General features: G+C 44.4%; 1 protein-coding gene across 8 annotated transcripts, besides 2 other annotated features; it reads right to left on the reverse strand.

Moving 5' to 3' along the window:
• Positions 1–1737: 1737 nt before the first annotated feature.
• Positions 1738–9210, reverse strand: TPRKB (TP53RK binding protein). 8 transcript variants are annotated; one of them, NM_001330387.2, is made up of 6 exons: positions 9167–9210; positions 6294–6453; positions 4449–4565; positions 4028–4150; positions 2425–2601; positions 1738–1894 (listed from the first exon to the last, which is right to left on the reverse strand). In NM_001330387.2, the coding sequence occupies exons 2-6, from the start codon at positions 6432–6434 to the stop codon at positions 1808–1810; spliced, it is 645 nt and encodes a 214-aa protein (NP_001317316.1). In that variant the 5' UTR covers positions 6435–6453; positions 9167–9210; the 3' UTR covers positions 1738–1807. The 8 variants fall into 8 exon arrangements, with proteins under 8 accessions (NP_001317316.1, NP_001317315.1, NP_001317319.1 ...); NM_001330386.2 differs by having other exon boundaries at positions 6294–6456; NM_001330390.2 differs by having other exon boundaries at positions 4449–4569; positions 6294–6456.
• Positions 9472–9551: an enhancer, noted in NCBI's record as "active region_16030". NCBI's record gives its function as "activates an Ori minimal core promoter by ATAC-STARR-seq in GM12878 lymphoblastoid cells {active_cell/tissue: GM12878}" and the evidence as "EXISTENCE:reporter gene assay evidence [ECO:0000049][PMID:35858748]".
• Positions 9592–9651: an enhancer, noted in NCBI's record as "active region_16031". NCBI's record gives its function as "activates an Ori minimal core promoter by ATAC-STARR-seq in GM12878 lymphoblastoid cells {active_cell/tissue: GM12878}" and the evidence as "EXISTENCE:reporter gene assay evidence [ECO:0000049][PMID:35858748]".

Raw genomic sequence — 16146 nt, forward strand, 5'->3', positions numbered from 1 at the left:
AGATTTTGTTTGTAATTCTATTTCCCCACCGCCAGAGGCCGGACTTTGGGGGTCAGGCAGCTGAGAAGGAGTTTAGAACCCATGCCTAGGCCTTCCACACTCTACAGGCACCCAGTTCATCCATCAGTAGCAGAACTTAGAGTCTTCCTGGGACTCCATACTGCCTGGAGAGAGGAATTCGTTCTCTTTCATTGCTGACATTCCTGGGTGAATGCCTGTGGCAGTTATACTTTACCCATCCCATTTTGTACCTCCTTCCACTCCAGGGGACCCCAAGGGGCCTGGCTCCACTTGCCCAGTGCACCTCCGAAGAAGGGAGACTGGGAAATGAGGATCCTGCCAGGGGGCCAGGTGTTGGACAAGGTGCATGTGAATGTGGAGGAGGAAGACGGAGCCCTCCCAAGAACCTGACAGGGTCAGGGATGAGGTGAGAGTGCTCAGAAGAGTGCTGAGGCAGGACCCAGGCTGGGGCCACGGACCTGCCTCAGCAGCTGGGGTCTGACCTCTTGGGGTTGTGTTCTGACTCCCCTTCCCCCATGGCTCTTTGCCCTCTGGAAGCCAAGGGGCAATGGCAGGTTCACAGTGGCACTGCAAGGGTACAGTTGTTGGGGGTTCTTGGGAGCAGGGGCACCAGTTCTGCTGTGGCCCTGGTTGCCTCCCCTTGCCCAGGCTCCATGTGCACCCTCAGAGTCCCCCTGGCACAACCTTTCTTCTTCTCACGAGGAACACCCCCACTTCCACTTGGGCCTCTGCCAGGAAGAAGGGTGGGAGCTCTGCCGAGGTGTCCCTCTGAGTGACCACCCTCAGCTGGAGCCGCCAGGCCTCTGCACAGTAGCTGCCCCTGGGCCTTGTGTGTAAAATGGGGGTAATAACAGTATCTACCTCATAAGGTTGCTGCAAGAACTAAATGAGTTCCTAGAAGTGAAAGACACTTAGAACCAGGATCCAGAGGCTTGCGAAGGGTGAGCTGGAGTAGCCATGGTAAGTATGGAGAGGGAGGTGAACTGAGGATATAAAATCACCAAGGCAAAAAATTTAAAAACAGAAACAATAACCAGCTGGGCTCAGTGGCTCATGCCTGTAATTCCAGCGCTTTGGGAGGCGCAGCAGAAGCATCACTTGAGTCCAGGATTTTGAGACCAATCTGGGCAACATAGTGAGACCACATCTCTACAAAAAAAAAAAAAAAAATCACTAAGGCAAGAACCTAGTACACTGTAGGCATTCCATAAGTGTTTGCAATTTTTATTCTAATTATATAAAAATAAAATATATTTGAATAGAAACAGAACTCTAGAAGGCAATAACAAGTAATAGTAACTGATTATCTTTTAAAATACAACGAGGTAGGACTACAAGTGGTTTTTTTGTTTTTTTTTTTTTTGGTTTTTTTTTTTGAGACGGAGTCTCGCTCAGCTGCCCAGGCTGGAGTGCTATGGCACGATCTCAGCTCACTGCAACCTGTGCCTCCCAGGTTCATGCGATTCTCCTGTCTCAGCCTCCCGAATAGCTGGGATTACAGGCACCTGCCATCATGCCCAGCTAATTTTTGTATTTTAGTAGAGATGGGGTTTCACCATGTTAGCCAGGCTGGTCTTGAACTCCTGACCTCAGGTGATCCACCTGCCTTGGCCTCCCAAATTGCTGGGATTTCAGGCGTGAGCCACCGTGCCTGGCCTTTTTTTTTTTTTTTTAATACCATTCTGTGATTTAAACTTTTCTATAATGCACAATTAGTTTTATAGTCAGGAAAGGAAAATCAATGTTTTCTTTAATGCTGAGAATTTTTGTTAATATTTCTGACATTTCATAAAACATCTTTTGTTGACATTCTACAAATGATAGCATCCAATAATGTCCCAATACTTTCTTCTTGTGAAGAGAGTTTATATATCTGTAAAAATGAAAGACAAATTATGACTTGCTGATATCGTCATTCACTACTAATTGTCATTATACAAACATGTGTAAGTGAAATTATTCCTCATTCAATTATTGGGTTCATGGTATAACAAACAACAAATGTGATTAAAATATTCAAAGTAGAGGGCAATTCATTACTTGTATCCCCTTTAAATTGCTGCTATGGGAGTAACTCTCAAGAACATAAAAACCAAATTTCTATCCATTTTAAAAGCATACTAAATTTATTTTACATTTTAAATATACTATGTAAGTTTGATATTTAAAGGTATTCTCTTTCTTAATGTGGAGAATGGTTATGTCAGCTGAGTTTGTAATTATATTTTACATAAACCATCACACCTCCCAGTTCTTTGTATCTGTAATTTTTAAGTAATTTTTAAAATTAGATTAACTTTCTCAAAAGTTCAAAAAACAAGGAGCTCTGGTGATCAATAGGCAAACGGCATCAGCATTATTGCTCATCTATCACACTCTTTCTAAAAATATGGACTGGCAAACCTTTTTGACTTCTGTAATATTCATTATTTCAGGAAGATTTTTCAGAGAAACCTGATGACCTTCTACTTGAGATATTAGGTATTCTTGATTTATTTGTTTTTCTCCCTCTTCAATGTAAACAATTAGAATTGAAGTGTCATTTGCTGAGATACCAAATTTTTTCAAAGCCTCTGAAATCTAAGAGAAAAAAAATGAAAAAAAAAACACAAGATCATTAACCATTGTTTCCTACGTCTGAAACATTTCCTGATCTGCCTTCTTCCTTGGTCAGGCTCTTATTTTTCATGTCCTAACAGTTCTCACTGCCTACTTTTTCACTTTAATGATTCCTTTCCAACATCCATTGGCACTTCCTCAAAAGCACTCCCTGCTTAAAGGTACGCCTTGTTCCTATGGAATCAAGCCCAGCCTCTTGGCGCTGCACAAAAACACCTCCTCCCTCTGGTGCCAAGTGGCCCTCCAGCCAGGCGCTTCTGCCTTCTGGCCAGTCCAGCCTGCCTGGGGATCCAGTCACATTTCATGCCCTTCTGCCTGTGCTCAAGCTTTGTCCTCTGCTCGCATGTCCCTTCTCCTCATGGCTTGGCTGCTGAACACATGCTTCAGGGTCCACAGTTCTGATGCCACTCCCCACCACACCCTCCTCCCTCCAAAATGAATGGCTTCATTGCTGTACCCCTAGATTTGAATTCATTTTCCCATTATATCATTTATCTTAGGGCATTTTAACTTGTCTTGTTTATCTGCCTCTCCTCAGGAACATATTTGCCTCTTCTGCCCCTAGAACTGTAAATGGAACGGGGAAAAAGTTCAACAGATGTTTACTGAATTCAAGAGTTTTCTGAATTATGTCTAATGATCTCAAGGAAACCATAATTAGTAAATTTTATTCCAGGTACTGGGAATCTCTATTACCATGCTGAGATAACTGCATTTTATAAACTTGTCAATCATCTGTATTTTAACCTATGCTACAGGTTTCCTGTAGATGACATTAGTACCTGGTTGTTATTAACAGCAGCAGTAATACTAAAACTTCATCAGCAAAATTGCAGTCATTTTTTTCATGTGCTACATGTGTGATGTCTTTAGCTTGATAACTTTCATTGAAAAAGCATTACTATAAGTATTTCAAACCACAAACTCTACCTATGTACTGGGTGTGTGAGTGAGGCTGTGTTAAGGACTGTTATAGGTACAAGCAAGTTCCTGGTATATGAAAAAGACATGGATCCCACCCTCAAGGAGTTTACGGGAAGAGAGAATGATATGCAGGCTAGCACACAAAATATCCACGCCTAATGTTTTATCATTTAGATTTCTGTCAGCTTCTCAAGCAAAAATACTTGAGGGGTCTTCCTGACCCTATATGGTAAGAACAGATAAAATTAACCTCGCTTAATTTAGCTAAATTTTTGTTTACTCATATGTAAACTGTCTTAGTAAGAGGCAGGGTTAAACCTCAACTCTCTGTCCAGAGCTCTCTTCACTATTATTTGGGTTTATTACTAACCACTGGCTTGCAGGAATTTAGCCTCCAACCCAACACTGAGGAACACATATGTTATTATGACACGGTCAACAGAAATAGGAAAGTGCACATTACATTGTTATTTGGGGAAAGGTTGAAAATAATTTCAGTAGATAGAGTTCTTGTCTTCATTTTTCCCAGTTTGTAGAGGTGAACTGCTTTGTTTGCTGCCACAAGTATCTGAAATGGATCAACAATCTACCAAAGCAAGGAAAAAGAATTAATTACACATGGAGAATCTGCAGTGCCTGAAAACACATGGTAACTCATGGTTAACTCCAGTGTCAAGCTGTTTTACTTCATCACAATTCTTACGGTCTGTATTTTCAAAACTATTATCCCGGCTGGGCACGGTGGCTCACACCTGTAATCCTAGCACTTTGGGAGGCCAAGGTGGGTAGATCACCTGACGTCAGGGTTCAAGACCAGCCTGGCCAACACGGCGAAACCCTCTCTACTAAAAATACAAAAATTAGTCAGGCGTGGTGGCACGCACCTGTAATCCCAGCAACTCAGGAGGCTGAGGCAGGACAATTGCTTGAACCCGGGAGGCAGAGGTTGCCGTGAGCCAAGATCGCGCCATTGCACTCCAGCCTGGGCAACAAGAGTGAAACTGTCTCAAAAAAAAAAAAAACAAAAAACAACTATTATCCCAAGGGCCTGGGTAGTCAGGAAATCACAGAATTTTAAAGCTGCAAGGAACTTATGCAAATAGTAAAATTTTTTTAAATAACATTAATTGAGGGCTAATATTATGGGCATGATCATATTGCAAACATTTTACTTGTAATATTTTCTTTAATCCTCAAAACTACCCTATGAAATTGACACTATTATTAGTAGTAGTAGCAGTAGTAGTAGTATGTAATTGATGAGGAAATTGAGGCAAAGAATGTCTGGGTTTGAATCCCATCTCTGTCACCTATCACCTAGGAAACTTATGCAAGTTCATTAGCATTTTATTTGTTAGAGACCGATGAAACAGTATTCACTCCATAGGCTGTTGTGAAGATTAAGCAAGTTAGTATACGTAAAGCACTTGGAACAATGCTAGGAATGCAGTAAGCACTATATAAAGGTTGGTTATGTCTTGTTCAAAGGCCTAAGTAGTAGGTCTGGGATTAATTCCCGGTAACATGATCGCACTGCGTGTGCCCTGTTTTTTTGTTTTTTTTTTTTTTTGGAGACAGACAGAGTCTCTCGCTCCATTGCCCAGGCTGGAATGCAGTGGCTCAATCTCAATTCACTGTAACCTCCGCCTCCCAGGTTCAAATGATTCTTGTGCCTCAGCCTCCCGAGTAGCTGGGACTACCAGCACACACCACCACACCCAGCTACTTTTTGTATTTTTAGTAGAGACACGGTTTCACTATGTAGGCCAGGCTGGTCTCAAACTCCGGGCCTCAAGCAATCCACCCACCTTGGCCTCTGTGTGTACTCTTAACCACTACACTATTCCTCCTCTACAGACTGTCTTGTTAGGAACCCCCATTTTAAAGATGAGAAGCTGGAGATCCAGGCATTTCCCATATTAGACCCAGACCACAACCTTTCCTATTTCCTAGGGCAGGACCTGGCACTTCTGCCTCTATTCACTGTTATAGTCAAAGTTGGCTGCATCTGACTTGGACAAGAATTTTTTCCCTAACCGTGACAGATTTTTAGGCTACCCTATAACATCACAAATATTAATGTATACTTAAATGCCCTGTATGGCTCATTCATTCTTTTTTTTTTTTTTTTTTTTTGAGGCGGATTCTTGGTCTGTTGCCCAGGCTGGAGTGCAGTGGCACAATCTCGGCTCACTGCAACCTCTGCCTCCCAGGCTCAAGCGATTCTCCTGCCTCAGTCTCCTGAGTACAGGTGCCCACCACCATGCTCAGCTAATTTTTGTATTTTTAGTAGAGACAGGGTTTCACCATATTGGCCAGGCTGGTCTCAAACTCCTGACCTCATGATCTGCCTGCCTCGGCCTCCCAAAGGGCTGGGATTACAGGCGTGAGCTACCATGCCTGGCCATTTTTTTTTTCCAGACAGAGTTTTGCTCGTCGCCCAGGCTGGAGTGCAATGGCGCAATCTTGGCTCACTGCAACCTCTGCCTCCAGGGTTCAAATGATTTTCCTGCCTCAGCCTCCCGAGTAGCTGGGATTATAGGCGCCCGCCACCACGCCCAGCTAATTTTTGTATTTTTAGTTGAGACAGGGTTTCACCATGTTGGCCAGGCTGGTCTTCAACTCCTGACCTCAGATGATCCACCCGCCTCGGCCTCCTAAAGTGCTGGCATTACAGGCGTGAGCCACCGCACCCAGCAGGCTCATTCATTCTTAAAATTTATATTTACCACTGTAGGATTTATCAGTGATCCATCGATGGTGCCTTCCATGGCCTTTCTTCTCAAGTCTCCCGCATTTTTTACATCTTTAAATAACAGAAGGGTTACCCTGCATTCGGGAAATAGGTCCAGCTGATGTGTTAACTGCATTTCACAGATAAGCAGGATTCTACTGCACACAAAATGAAAAGACCAAAAGATTTCATTTAAAAGTTAACATCAGAACTCATTTCTTAATAAATATTCAAAAACTTTGAAAGTAACTTGATAAAAGTGTTAAACTAGAAAAATCCATCGCCAAAGCCCATTTGGCATCCTCATGAGATGTTGTCTTCCTAACCCTTCTGAGTTGTTCTGTTGTCATCCCCAGGGAAACGCCAAGGGGCCCAGCTGGTTGCTGTTTGTTCAGATGAGGCAGGCTCAGGTGCATGGTTGAAGGGCTGCTTCCCCAGCAGACAAGTAGGAGCAGAATGTCAGGAATTTTTTAAACCAGAGGTTGCTTACGGTATTAATGAAGTCTTACTCTATCTTAGTCTTTTTAACTTCCTGATCTCATCATTTTATTTATATTTTAGGAAGGCCTAGACATAAATATTAAGGAAGAAAATAATTTTAAAGAATAAAGTAGGCTGGGTGCAGTGGCTCATGCCTGTAATCTCAGCACTCTGGGAGGCCGAGGCGAGCAGATCACCTGAGGTTGGGAGTTCGAGACCAGCCTGACCAACATGGAGAAACCCCGTCTCTACTAAAAATGCCAAAAAAATTAGCCAGGCATGGTGGCGCATGCCTGTAATCCCAGCTACTCAGGAGGCTGAGGCAGAAGAATCGCTTGAACCTGGGAGGCAGAGGTTGCAGTGAGCCGAGATCATACCATTGCACCCCAGCCTGGGCAACAAGAGTGAAACTCCGTCTCAAAAAAAAAAAAGAATAGGGGGAAGGGATAGCATTAGGAGATATACCTAATGTAAACGATGAGTTAATGGGTGCAGCATACAAACATGGCACATGTATACAGATGTAACAAACCTGCACGTTGTGCACATGTACCCTAGAACTTAAAGTATAAAAATAAAAAAAAAGGATAAAGTATCCCACTTGACCCAAAGATATTCATTCCACGCATGGAAATTAAGCAGAGAGGGTACAATTATTAAATAATCAATGTCGCTCCTTTCTTGGACATAAGCTTAACAAGAAAAGGATAGGTTATTATATATAAAGACATAAAAGAAACATAAAAGACAACTTGAATAACCAGAAAGACATGACCATATCTTTGAATGGAAAAACTATGTATTGCAAAAATTTCTTTAAAACAATTTCTATCAAATTCTTAATAAAATATTTTGGTGGGGCAATTTGAGACTCATTTTATCCTTTTACCTGGCAGATTATATTTCTAGAACTCTTTCTGATGGAAGTCATTAGGAATCCAATAATTATATAAGATGTTCCTCTCATTATTTTAACAGTAAAAAGTTGCAAATAACCTATCTAGCTAATGATGGGATTAGTTGTTATTTAACAACCATTAAAACATGTGGTCTTGACGGTGTGTAAAAACGGCAATAAATAACATTAAGTAAGTAAAAACATCTGAATGGAAAACAAAACACAAACTGGCCAAAATGTGGGTTTTTTAAAAGGCTTTTAAACAAATATTAAAAAGAAAATACACCAAAAAGTTAATGTTATCTCTTATTTAGAATTAATTTGACTTTTTCTGTTACAAACAGAAAAAAATATATTTGTGAACGATATCCTGGCACACAGTTCAATCATTAGTCATGCTAAGGTGGAAAAAATGGATACAGAAAGACATAATCAGTAGGATCCCAATTATATAAAAAGATACACATATTTTTTTAAAATACATGAAAGAAACACTAAAATATGACCATCTTGGGTAGTGAGGTTATGAGGTGATTTTTATTGTCCTTTATATAAAAGAAAATATTTTGTTATGTATGTTCTGAATTTTCTACAGTAAGCACACAAAACATGAGTACACATAATAAGAAAGGAAAAAAACGTGCTTTTTAACACTGAGTGGGGGGAAGAACCCTTAGAAAACTTCAAAATAGTTTGTTCTTGTTTAGCGTAATTTACTCACTCAGGTCAGAAACTTGGAATCATCGTTGAGACCCAACCTGTCACTCAAATCCTATATCTAATCCGTAAAGTCCTGAATTTTCACCTGCTAAATATACTTTTGATTCGTCCACTTCTCTCCCATACGCTAGGTCACATCGCTCATCTACAGCAGTAGCCTTCTGAGTGGTTTCTCACAATTCCTGCCCTCCTATAATCCAGTCGTCACCAGCAGTTACAGTGATCCTTTCAAAATGTACATCAGATCTTGTCATTCTGCTGCTCTTATGATAAAGCCCCAACTTTGTGTCACGGTGTTCCACACTCTACGATCTGGTCCCTGCCTCTCCTCTTCTGCTACCGCCGCAATGGCCTTCTCTAAGCTCAAGTCACCAACCTTTCTCCCCGATTCTGCCCTATCGGACAGGTAGTTCCCTCTCTCCTTTCATCTCCGCCTGACGCACTCCTCCCTCCCTTCAACTCCATTTGGAGTCCATTTACTACAGCGCCCAGAACCCCGGCACTACGGCTCTTTTTAGTCTGAGGACTAGCTCCTTTTTGGGCCCAATCACAACTCTGAAGAATCCTGCGCCTATCCGCTGCATGTCTCCTCACTAAACTATTTCTTGAGGGGACAGCCTGACTCTATCATTCTCGTGCTGCATTCCCAGGGGCTGGCCTCGTTGCCGCTTGAGAAATACCAACCGCAGCCGTTGTCCCAAAGACACTACTAAAACTGCCCGGACCCTCCCGCTCCCGAGCCTGCCCGTTAGAGCGCAAGGAAAACTCACCATCCGGCCCCCAGTGCGTCTCGGAAGAGCTCCCGCTCCGAAACAAAGCTCACAACTTCCGGAAGCGATGGCCAATCCCCGTCTTCTTCGAGCCAGTTTCCGGATAGGCCGGCTCGGGGTGGCCATCTGTTTCCGGGTCCTGGTAGGAGGGGTGCTTCCGCCCATGGTCCCGCCCATTCTTCCGCCTCCCCAACCTGGGTCCCGTCAACGGACGCGAAGGAGAACAGGGGCTGTATATCACTTCCGGCGAAGGAAATGGAAGAATCTATGGGCTGGGACCGGAAGCTGGGGTCTGGTTTTGAGTCTCGGCTTTGTCTTAACCTGTGTTGGGCGTTGCACCGGGCGACCTCAGTTTCTTCCTGTACAAGGAAAAGTACTGACCAAAATGAGTTCTACATACATTTCCGCTGCTGGAGATTTCTTTGGTTTTTGAGACAGAGTCTTGCTCTGTTACTCAGGCTGGAGTGCTGTGGTGCAATCTCGGCTCACTGCAACCTCCGCGTCCCGGTTCAAGCCATTCTCCTGCCTCAGCCTCCCGAGCAGCTGGGACTACAGGCACCCGCCACCACGCCCCGCTAATTTTTTGTATTTTTAGTAGAGACGGGGTTTCACCGTGTTAGCTAGGATGGTCTGGATCACCTGACCTCGTGATCCACCCGCCTTGGCCTCCCAAGGAGCTGGGATTAGTTCTTTTTCTGGGCCATGTCTCCTGTGACACTTTGGACTTTTGAGTTTAATGCTGGAACAAGTTAAAATTTTGGTAGGTGATTGGGAAGGCATGATTATGTTTTGCAATGTCAGAAGGACATGAGATTTGGGGGTCCAGGGATGGATTGAATATATGTCCCTGCCAAATCTCATGTTGAATTGTCCCCATTTTTGGAGGTGGGACCTGATGGGAGGTGTTTGGGTCATGGAAGTGGATCTCTCATGGCTTGGTGTCTTTGCAATAGTGAGTGAGTGCCAGGAAGATGTGGTTATTTAGAAGTGTGTGGCACCCTCCAACACAGTCTCTTGGTCCAGTTCTCACCATGTGATGTGCCTGCTCTCTCTTCTCCTTCTGCCAATAGTAAAAGCTCCCTGGGGCCTCCTCAGAGGCCAAACAGATGGTGGTACTATGCTTCCTGTACAGCCTGCAGAAACATGAGCCAATTTAACCTCGTTTCTATATAAATTACCCAGTCTCAGGTATTTCTTTGTGGCAATGCAACAGCCTAATTGCAGGGGGCAGGGGCAGGGGGAAGAGGTGGGGAGGCATGACACACTGGGCTAAAACATGAAGAACATTCGGCCAGGTGCGGTGGCTCACGCCTGTAATCCCAACACTTTGGGAGGCCGAGGCAGGCAGATCACCTGAAGTCGGGAGTTCGAGACCAGCTTGACCAACGTGGAGAAACCCCGTCTCTACTAAAAAATAAAAAATTAGCCAGGCATGGTGGCTCATGCCTGTAATGCCAGCTACTCAAGAGACTGAGGCAGGAGAATCACGTGATCTGGGGAGGCAGAGGTTGCCATGAGCTGAGATCGCGCCATTGCACTCCAGCCTGGGCAACAAGAGTGAAACTCCCTCTCAAAAAAAAATAAATAAATAAAAATTAAAATTAAAAAAAATATATATATATATATATACATATATATATGAAGGACATTCTATTTCTGGGAGACACTGGAACAGGGCCCTGGCTGGTCTGGTTAGTCTCTCTCTATCACAGGATGCTACATTCCCAGCACATTCTACAGTTATCCTAGAGAACCACAAGTGAGAAAGGAGAGAGAACTAAATTGGTCCAAGGCCACCTGGAGAACTGTCCTGCAGTCTATGCCCTTAACCCAGATTATACCCTTTAGCAAAGCTAGTCCGTTTCATATGCCCACCAACCTCCTAGTATCTGGAGGCGGAAGTTTGTCTTATCAGATCGATGTAACACCTTCACAGACACAATGTCAGTACAACATTGTTGAGCCATAGCCAGAATACATTTTACTAGGCCCAGGAGGACTACATCACAAACAGGTTGATCAGGTCTGTCTGGAGCATCAACCTAGTCCAGGATCCAGTGATCCAGGTAAGAACATAATAGGTCAAAGGTGCCAGCCCACCAAGATCTTATTAGTTGTCATGATGTTTTGCCACCTTAGGCCAATTAAGTCTACCTCCCTCCCATGTGGCAGATGTTAGATCCTCACTCAGTAAGCCAGGGCTCAGGTTCTGTTGATATTCACTGTGCCACTATAATACTGGTAGAGTTTACTACTGGCAGGACGAGAAGGTTGCTGTAGCCTGTGACATAATGGGGTCTGGGATGACAGATCCAGCACTTTCCTATGGTAGCCACAGCTTGGGAGAGCCTAACAAACGCGTTATGCTTCTAGGCCTCTGCAGTCACGTCCTTGTGGAAAAAGCAGACTGACAGGTTAGTGCCCTGCCCCTTACACTTCCTGCATCCTCGGGTATTCCCTACCTATGTGATAGAGGTTGAGCTGAGTGTAGTGTCCCAGTCTGACTGCTGCAGTCCCGAGAGTACCCATTCCGCTTGTTGCATGACCCAGGCCTTTTGGCTTCAGTCGTCCAGTCCGGGAAGGTTTGTCTTGTACAAACTCGACATGTCTGATAAGGTTACCTACCTGAATGGAAGGATCAGGTGTTCCTGGTGCCACTAAGCCTAGCACCCTGATACTCCTTGGTCCTGTCCTGTATCCCTGTGGATTTCATAGAAGAGAGGCACCCGGGGGACGTATCACCTCTAGATCAGAGTCAGAGGGGCCTGTCGGGTGCTCTGGCAGCTTGAACCACCGGCCACCTACAGGATGTGCACTCTAAATGGAAAAAGAAAAGACAATGGTTGGGAACACTGAGATTGGAATTTCACAGGTGCAGCCTCATCAGGCAGTCACCTGGTCCACCTCTATCCACATCAAGCTCAGCGTTTTTCAAGATGTGTGCAGTGCTGTGTTTCCCTTGATTGGAGAACAGTGCTTAGTGTCCACACTGCCCTAGTCAGGTTGAGGTGCCACCCCACTAACAGGCTGTCCTGATGTCCTTTATTCAGTTGCTTTGTGAGTTGACTGGTCCATCATTCAATGGCTCCATTGGCCTGTGGATGACAGAGTGCATGGAAAACCCACTGTATTGCATGAGTGTGCCCACTGTCATGTTGCTTGGGCAGTGAGGATTTTCCTTGGTCAGAGTGAAGTCCCATGGGGTATCCAAAAACATAAGTCCTCTCAAGGGCAGCTGTGGTAGTCAGAGCATCCACATGAGTGGCATATAGAGTCCCTTCCAACAGCAAGCTGTTGCCATAGCCCTTGTCCCCACACATGGAATCTTTTAATAGTCCAATCACTGCTGCCATTCCCCTGACCAGATGGCTAGGCTGTTGGCAATGGCCCATGAGTCAGTAAAAATGTGGCAAGATATGGTGGTAGGTGGGAGGGGATGTGCCCCACTGTTATGGCTCAAATCCTTAGCTGTTAGGGGTCATAGCCCCTCTGGTGGCAGTGACATTCTGTGCCACAAGCCACCAAAATGTCAATGCCTATAAAGCACTCAGTGGTGGGAACCATGGTCACTGACACCTGAAATGGCCCAAAGGCCTCCACCCACAAGCAGATAAGCACCACAAGCAGATAAACACTATGTGTCACCGAGTTCATCCCCAAACTTCCTGGTGTCACCAGCTTAATTTTTCCCCTAAAGGAACCTGGAAATTCTGTCATGTGGCCTTCAGTATCCAAGAACTCGAAAGAAATCAGAATTTCCATCTTTCCCCATTTTATTTATTTATTTTTTTTTTGAGACAGGATCTCTCTCCATTGTCCATGTTGGAGTGCAGCCTCAACCTCCCAGGTTCAGACAATCCTCCAGCCTCAGCCTCCCACATAGCTGGGATTACAGAAGCACACCACCACACCTAATTATTTTTAAATTTTCTGTAGAGACGAGGTCTCACTTTGTTGCTTTGGCTGGTCTCTAAGTCTTGGGCTCAAGGGATCCTCCTGCCTTGGCCCCACAAAGTACTGGAATTATAGGTATGAGCCACTGCACCTGGCCCCATTTTATCTTAATAGGAGTATAGAGCCATTGGCCTCTGGTGGGGATCCAGAGACCTTGGGCCCCATTCCTACCCGTGCCATACAGCCCAAGACATTTGGGTTTGCAATGTCCCTTTATCAAATATATTCATCAACCAGGATGCATGTGACTTCCTTGGCCTTTCTCCATGTCTAAGACTGTGGTCCTTTAGACTTGAGTCTCCCTTTCTGTGACGGGCCACGTTGTGCATGTGGGTTCCTCTCAGATGCTTCAGGGACCATGTGAGTACCTCATCCCTCTTCTTTCTCTTAAGTGCCTTAGGGTATGTTTGGGTCCCCAATCATCAGCCCTGGAAATGAGCAATCACATAAGTGGCTAACAACCAAGGGATCCTGTGTGGCATTTCAGCTCCACCTTACTTTCTCTCTGCTTCCACCCATTCAGCCAGCTCAGTCACATCCACAGGGTGTGTTTGCACGTGACCTAATGTCTCACGTATCACCCCTCCTTTCCCATAAAATGTCCAGTTGCAAGTCCAGCCTCTGCACCCACAGGTTGACATCACCACCTCCTTTCACCAGGAAAACATGGTTCTGTTAGACTGAACCCTGTTTGTTGTGTCAATTTTGTGAAGCAGGCTCATTGTGCACTGGTTATCAACTTGCCTGAGTCCAATGAGATGGTAAGATGGAATGCCCACACACAAGTTACATGAAGTGGGTTTATTACTTACAGATTGGCCCTGAGGCACAACAGAAGCCCGGAATTCATTGTGAGCCAATCTCCCAAGGCTCAAGAAAGCTACCGAGGGTGGATGGATTCTCACAAGTGGGGCATGTGTCCCACTTGCACTGCAGCTGAGGGACACTAGAAAGCATCCCACACTGGATTTAATACCCTGGGGACCACATGACACGCTGGGCAAAAGTGTTGATGGACATCTTGTTTCTCAGAGGCAGACAGGAACAGAGAGAGCCTGTGAGCTGTTCTTGTCAGTCCCTCTTTATCGCAGGATGTTGCATTCCCAGCACATTCTACAGTTATTGTTGAGAACACACGTGAGAAAGAGGGAAGAACTGGGCGAGTCTAAGGTGACCTGGAGAATTGTCCTGCAGCTTGTTCTTGAATGTTCATATCAACTTTACTCATAATAGCCAAAAACTGGAAATAACCAATGCCCAACAATACATTGATAAACACATTGTGGCAAATTCATACAGTGAGATACCACTCAGTAATGAACAGGAATGAACTGCAGATACTTCCAACAATACTTGCAACATGGATGAGTCTTTAGAATGTGCTCAGCAAAATGACAATCTAAAATTAATTACTAGGCTGGGAACGGTGGCTCAAGCCTGTAATCCCAGCACTTTGGGAGGCTGAGGCAGGAAGATCACCTGAGGTCAGGAGTTCGAGACCAGCCTGTCCAACATGGTGAAACCCTGTCTCTACCAAAAAGTACAAAAATTAGCCGGGTGTGGTAGCAAGCATCGGTAATCCCAGCTACTCGGGAGGCTGAGACAGGAGAATCGCTTCAACCTGGGAGGCAGAGGTTGCAGTGAGCCAAGATTGTGCCACTGCACTCCAGCCTTGGCGACAGAGGAAGATTCTGTCTCAAAAATAAATAAATAAAATAAAATAAATTACCATATGATTTCATTTCTACAAAATGCTAGAGATTACAGATTTATTATGGAGTGACTGAAAGCAAATCAGTGGTTGCTTGGGATAGGGAAGTGGGAGACACTGACTGGAAAGGACCCAAAGGGAATCTTTAGGGTGAAGCCAATGTTCTATATCTTGATGTGGTGTCAGTTACAAGGAAGTATGAATTTGTTACAATTCATCAAATTAGGTATACTTTAGAAGAGTATATTATATATAATATATATTTAATATATTTTAAAAAATATATATATATAATTTTTTTTTTTCTGAAACAGAGTCTTGCTTTATCACCCAGGCTGGAGTGCGGTGGCACGATCTTGGCTCACTGCAACCTCCGCCTCCCAGGTTCAAGCGATTTTCCTGCCTCAGCCTCCCGAGTAGCTGGGATTACAGGTGCGCCACCACGCCAGGCTAATTTTTGTATTTTTAGTAGAGATGGGGCTTCACCATGCTGGCAGGCTGGTCTCGAACTCCTGACCTTGTGATCCGCCCATCTTGGCCTCCCAAAGTGCTGGGATTACAGGCATGAGCCACCATGCCCAGCCTAGAAGAGCATATTTTATAAACTACAAATTATGCCTCAATAAAGTTGATTCGAAAACAGACATAAAAATTGTTGTCTCATATCAAGCAGAGTCCCATGGAATAAAAAAATTGTCTTGGCCGGGCATGGTGGCTCATGCCTGTAATCCCAGCACTTTGGGAGGCCCAGGCAGGTGGATCACCTGAGGTCAGGAGTTCAAGATCAGCCTGGCTAACATGGTGAAACCCCATCTCTACTAAAAATACAAAATTAGCTGGGCATGGTGGCGCACGCCTGTAATCCCAGCTACTCGGGAGGCTAAGGCAGGAGAATCGCTTGAAACCAGCAGGCAGAGGTTGCAGTGAGCCAGAATTGCACCCTGCACCCCAGCCTGGGTGACAGAGTAAGACTCCATCTCCAAAAAAAAAAAAAAAAAAGTTGTCTCAGTTCATAGCAGCTTGTTTCTAACTATTAAAAGCTGGAAACAACCCACAACCCAAATGTTCGAGTGAATGGATAAACAAAGTGTCACACATCCATACAATGACTGCAACTCAGCAATAAAAAGAAGTCAGCTATTGCTATATACAGCAACATGGATGAATCTCAAAATAATTATGCCAAATCAAAGAAGCCAGACATAAAAAGAGTGCATACTATATGATTCCGTTTATGTAAAACTACTCTATGGTGACAGCAGATCAGTGGTCGCTTGAGTAGGGGTTCTAGGATGCAAAGGGAGGATTACAAAGG

Source organism: Homo sapiens, chromosome 2, assembly GCF_000001405.40.
Source record: "Homo sapiens chromosome 2, GRCh38.p14 Primary Assembly".
NCBI lineage: Eukaryota > Metazoa > Chordata > Mammalia > Primates > Hominidae > Homo > Homo sapiens.

Coding starts and splice junctions, on each gene's coding strand:
- TPRKB (NM_001330387.2), bottom strand. CDS start 6,434: ATGCAGTTAACACATCAGCTGGACCTATTTCCCGAATGCAGGGTAACC. Junction 2,602..4,027: donor ACCTTTCCCCAAATAACAAT/GTAATGTGCACT, acceptor TTTTTCTCTTAG/ATTTCAGAGGCTTTGAAAAA. Junction 1,895..2,424: donor ATATTACAGAAGTCAAAAAG/GTTTGCCAGTCC, acceptor TCATTTTTACAG/ATATATAAACTCTCTTCACA.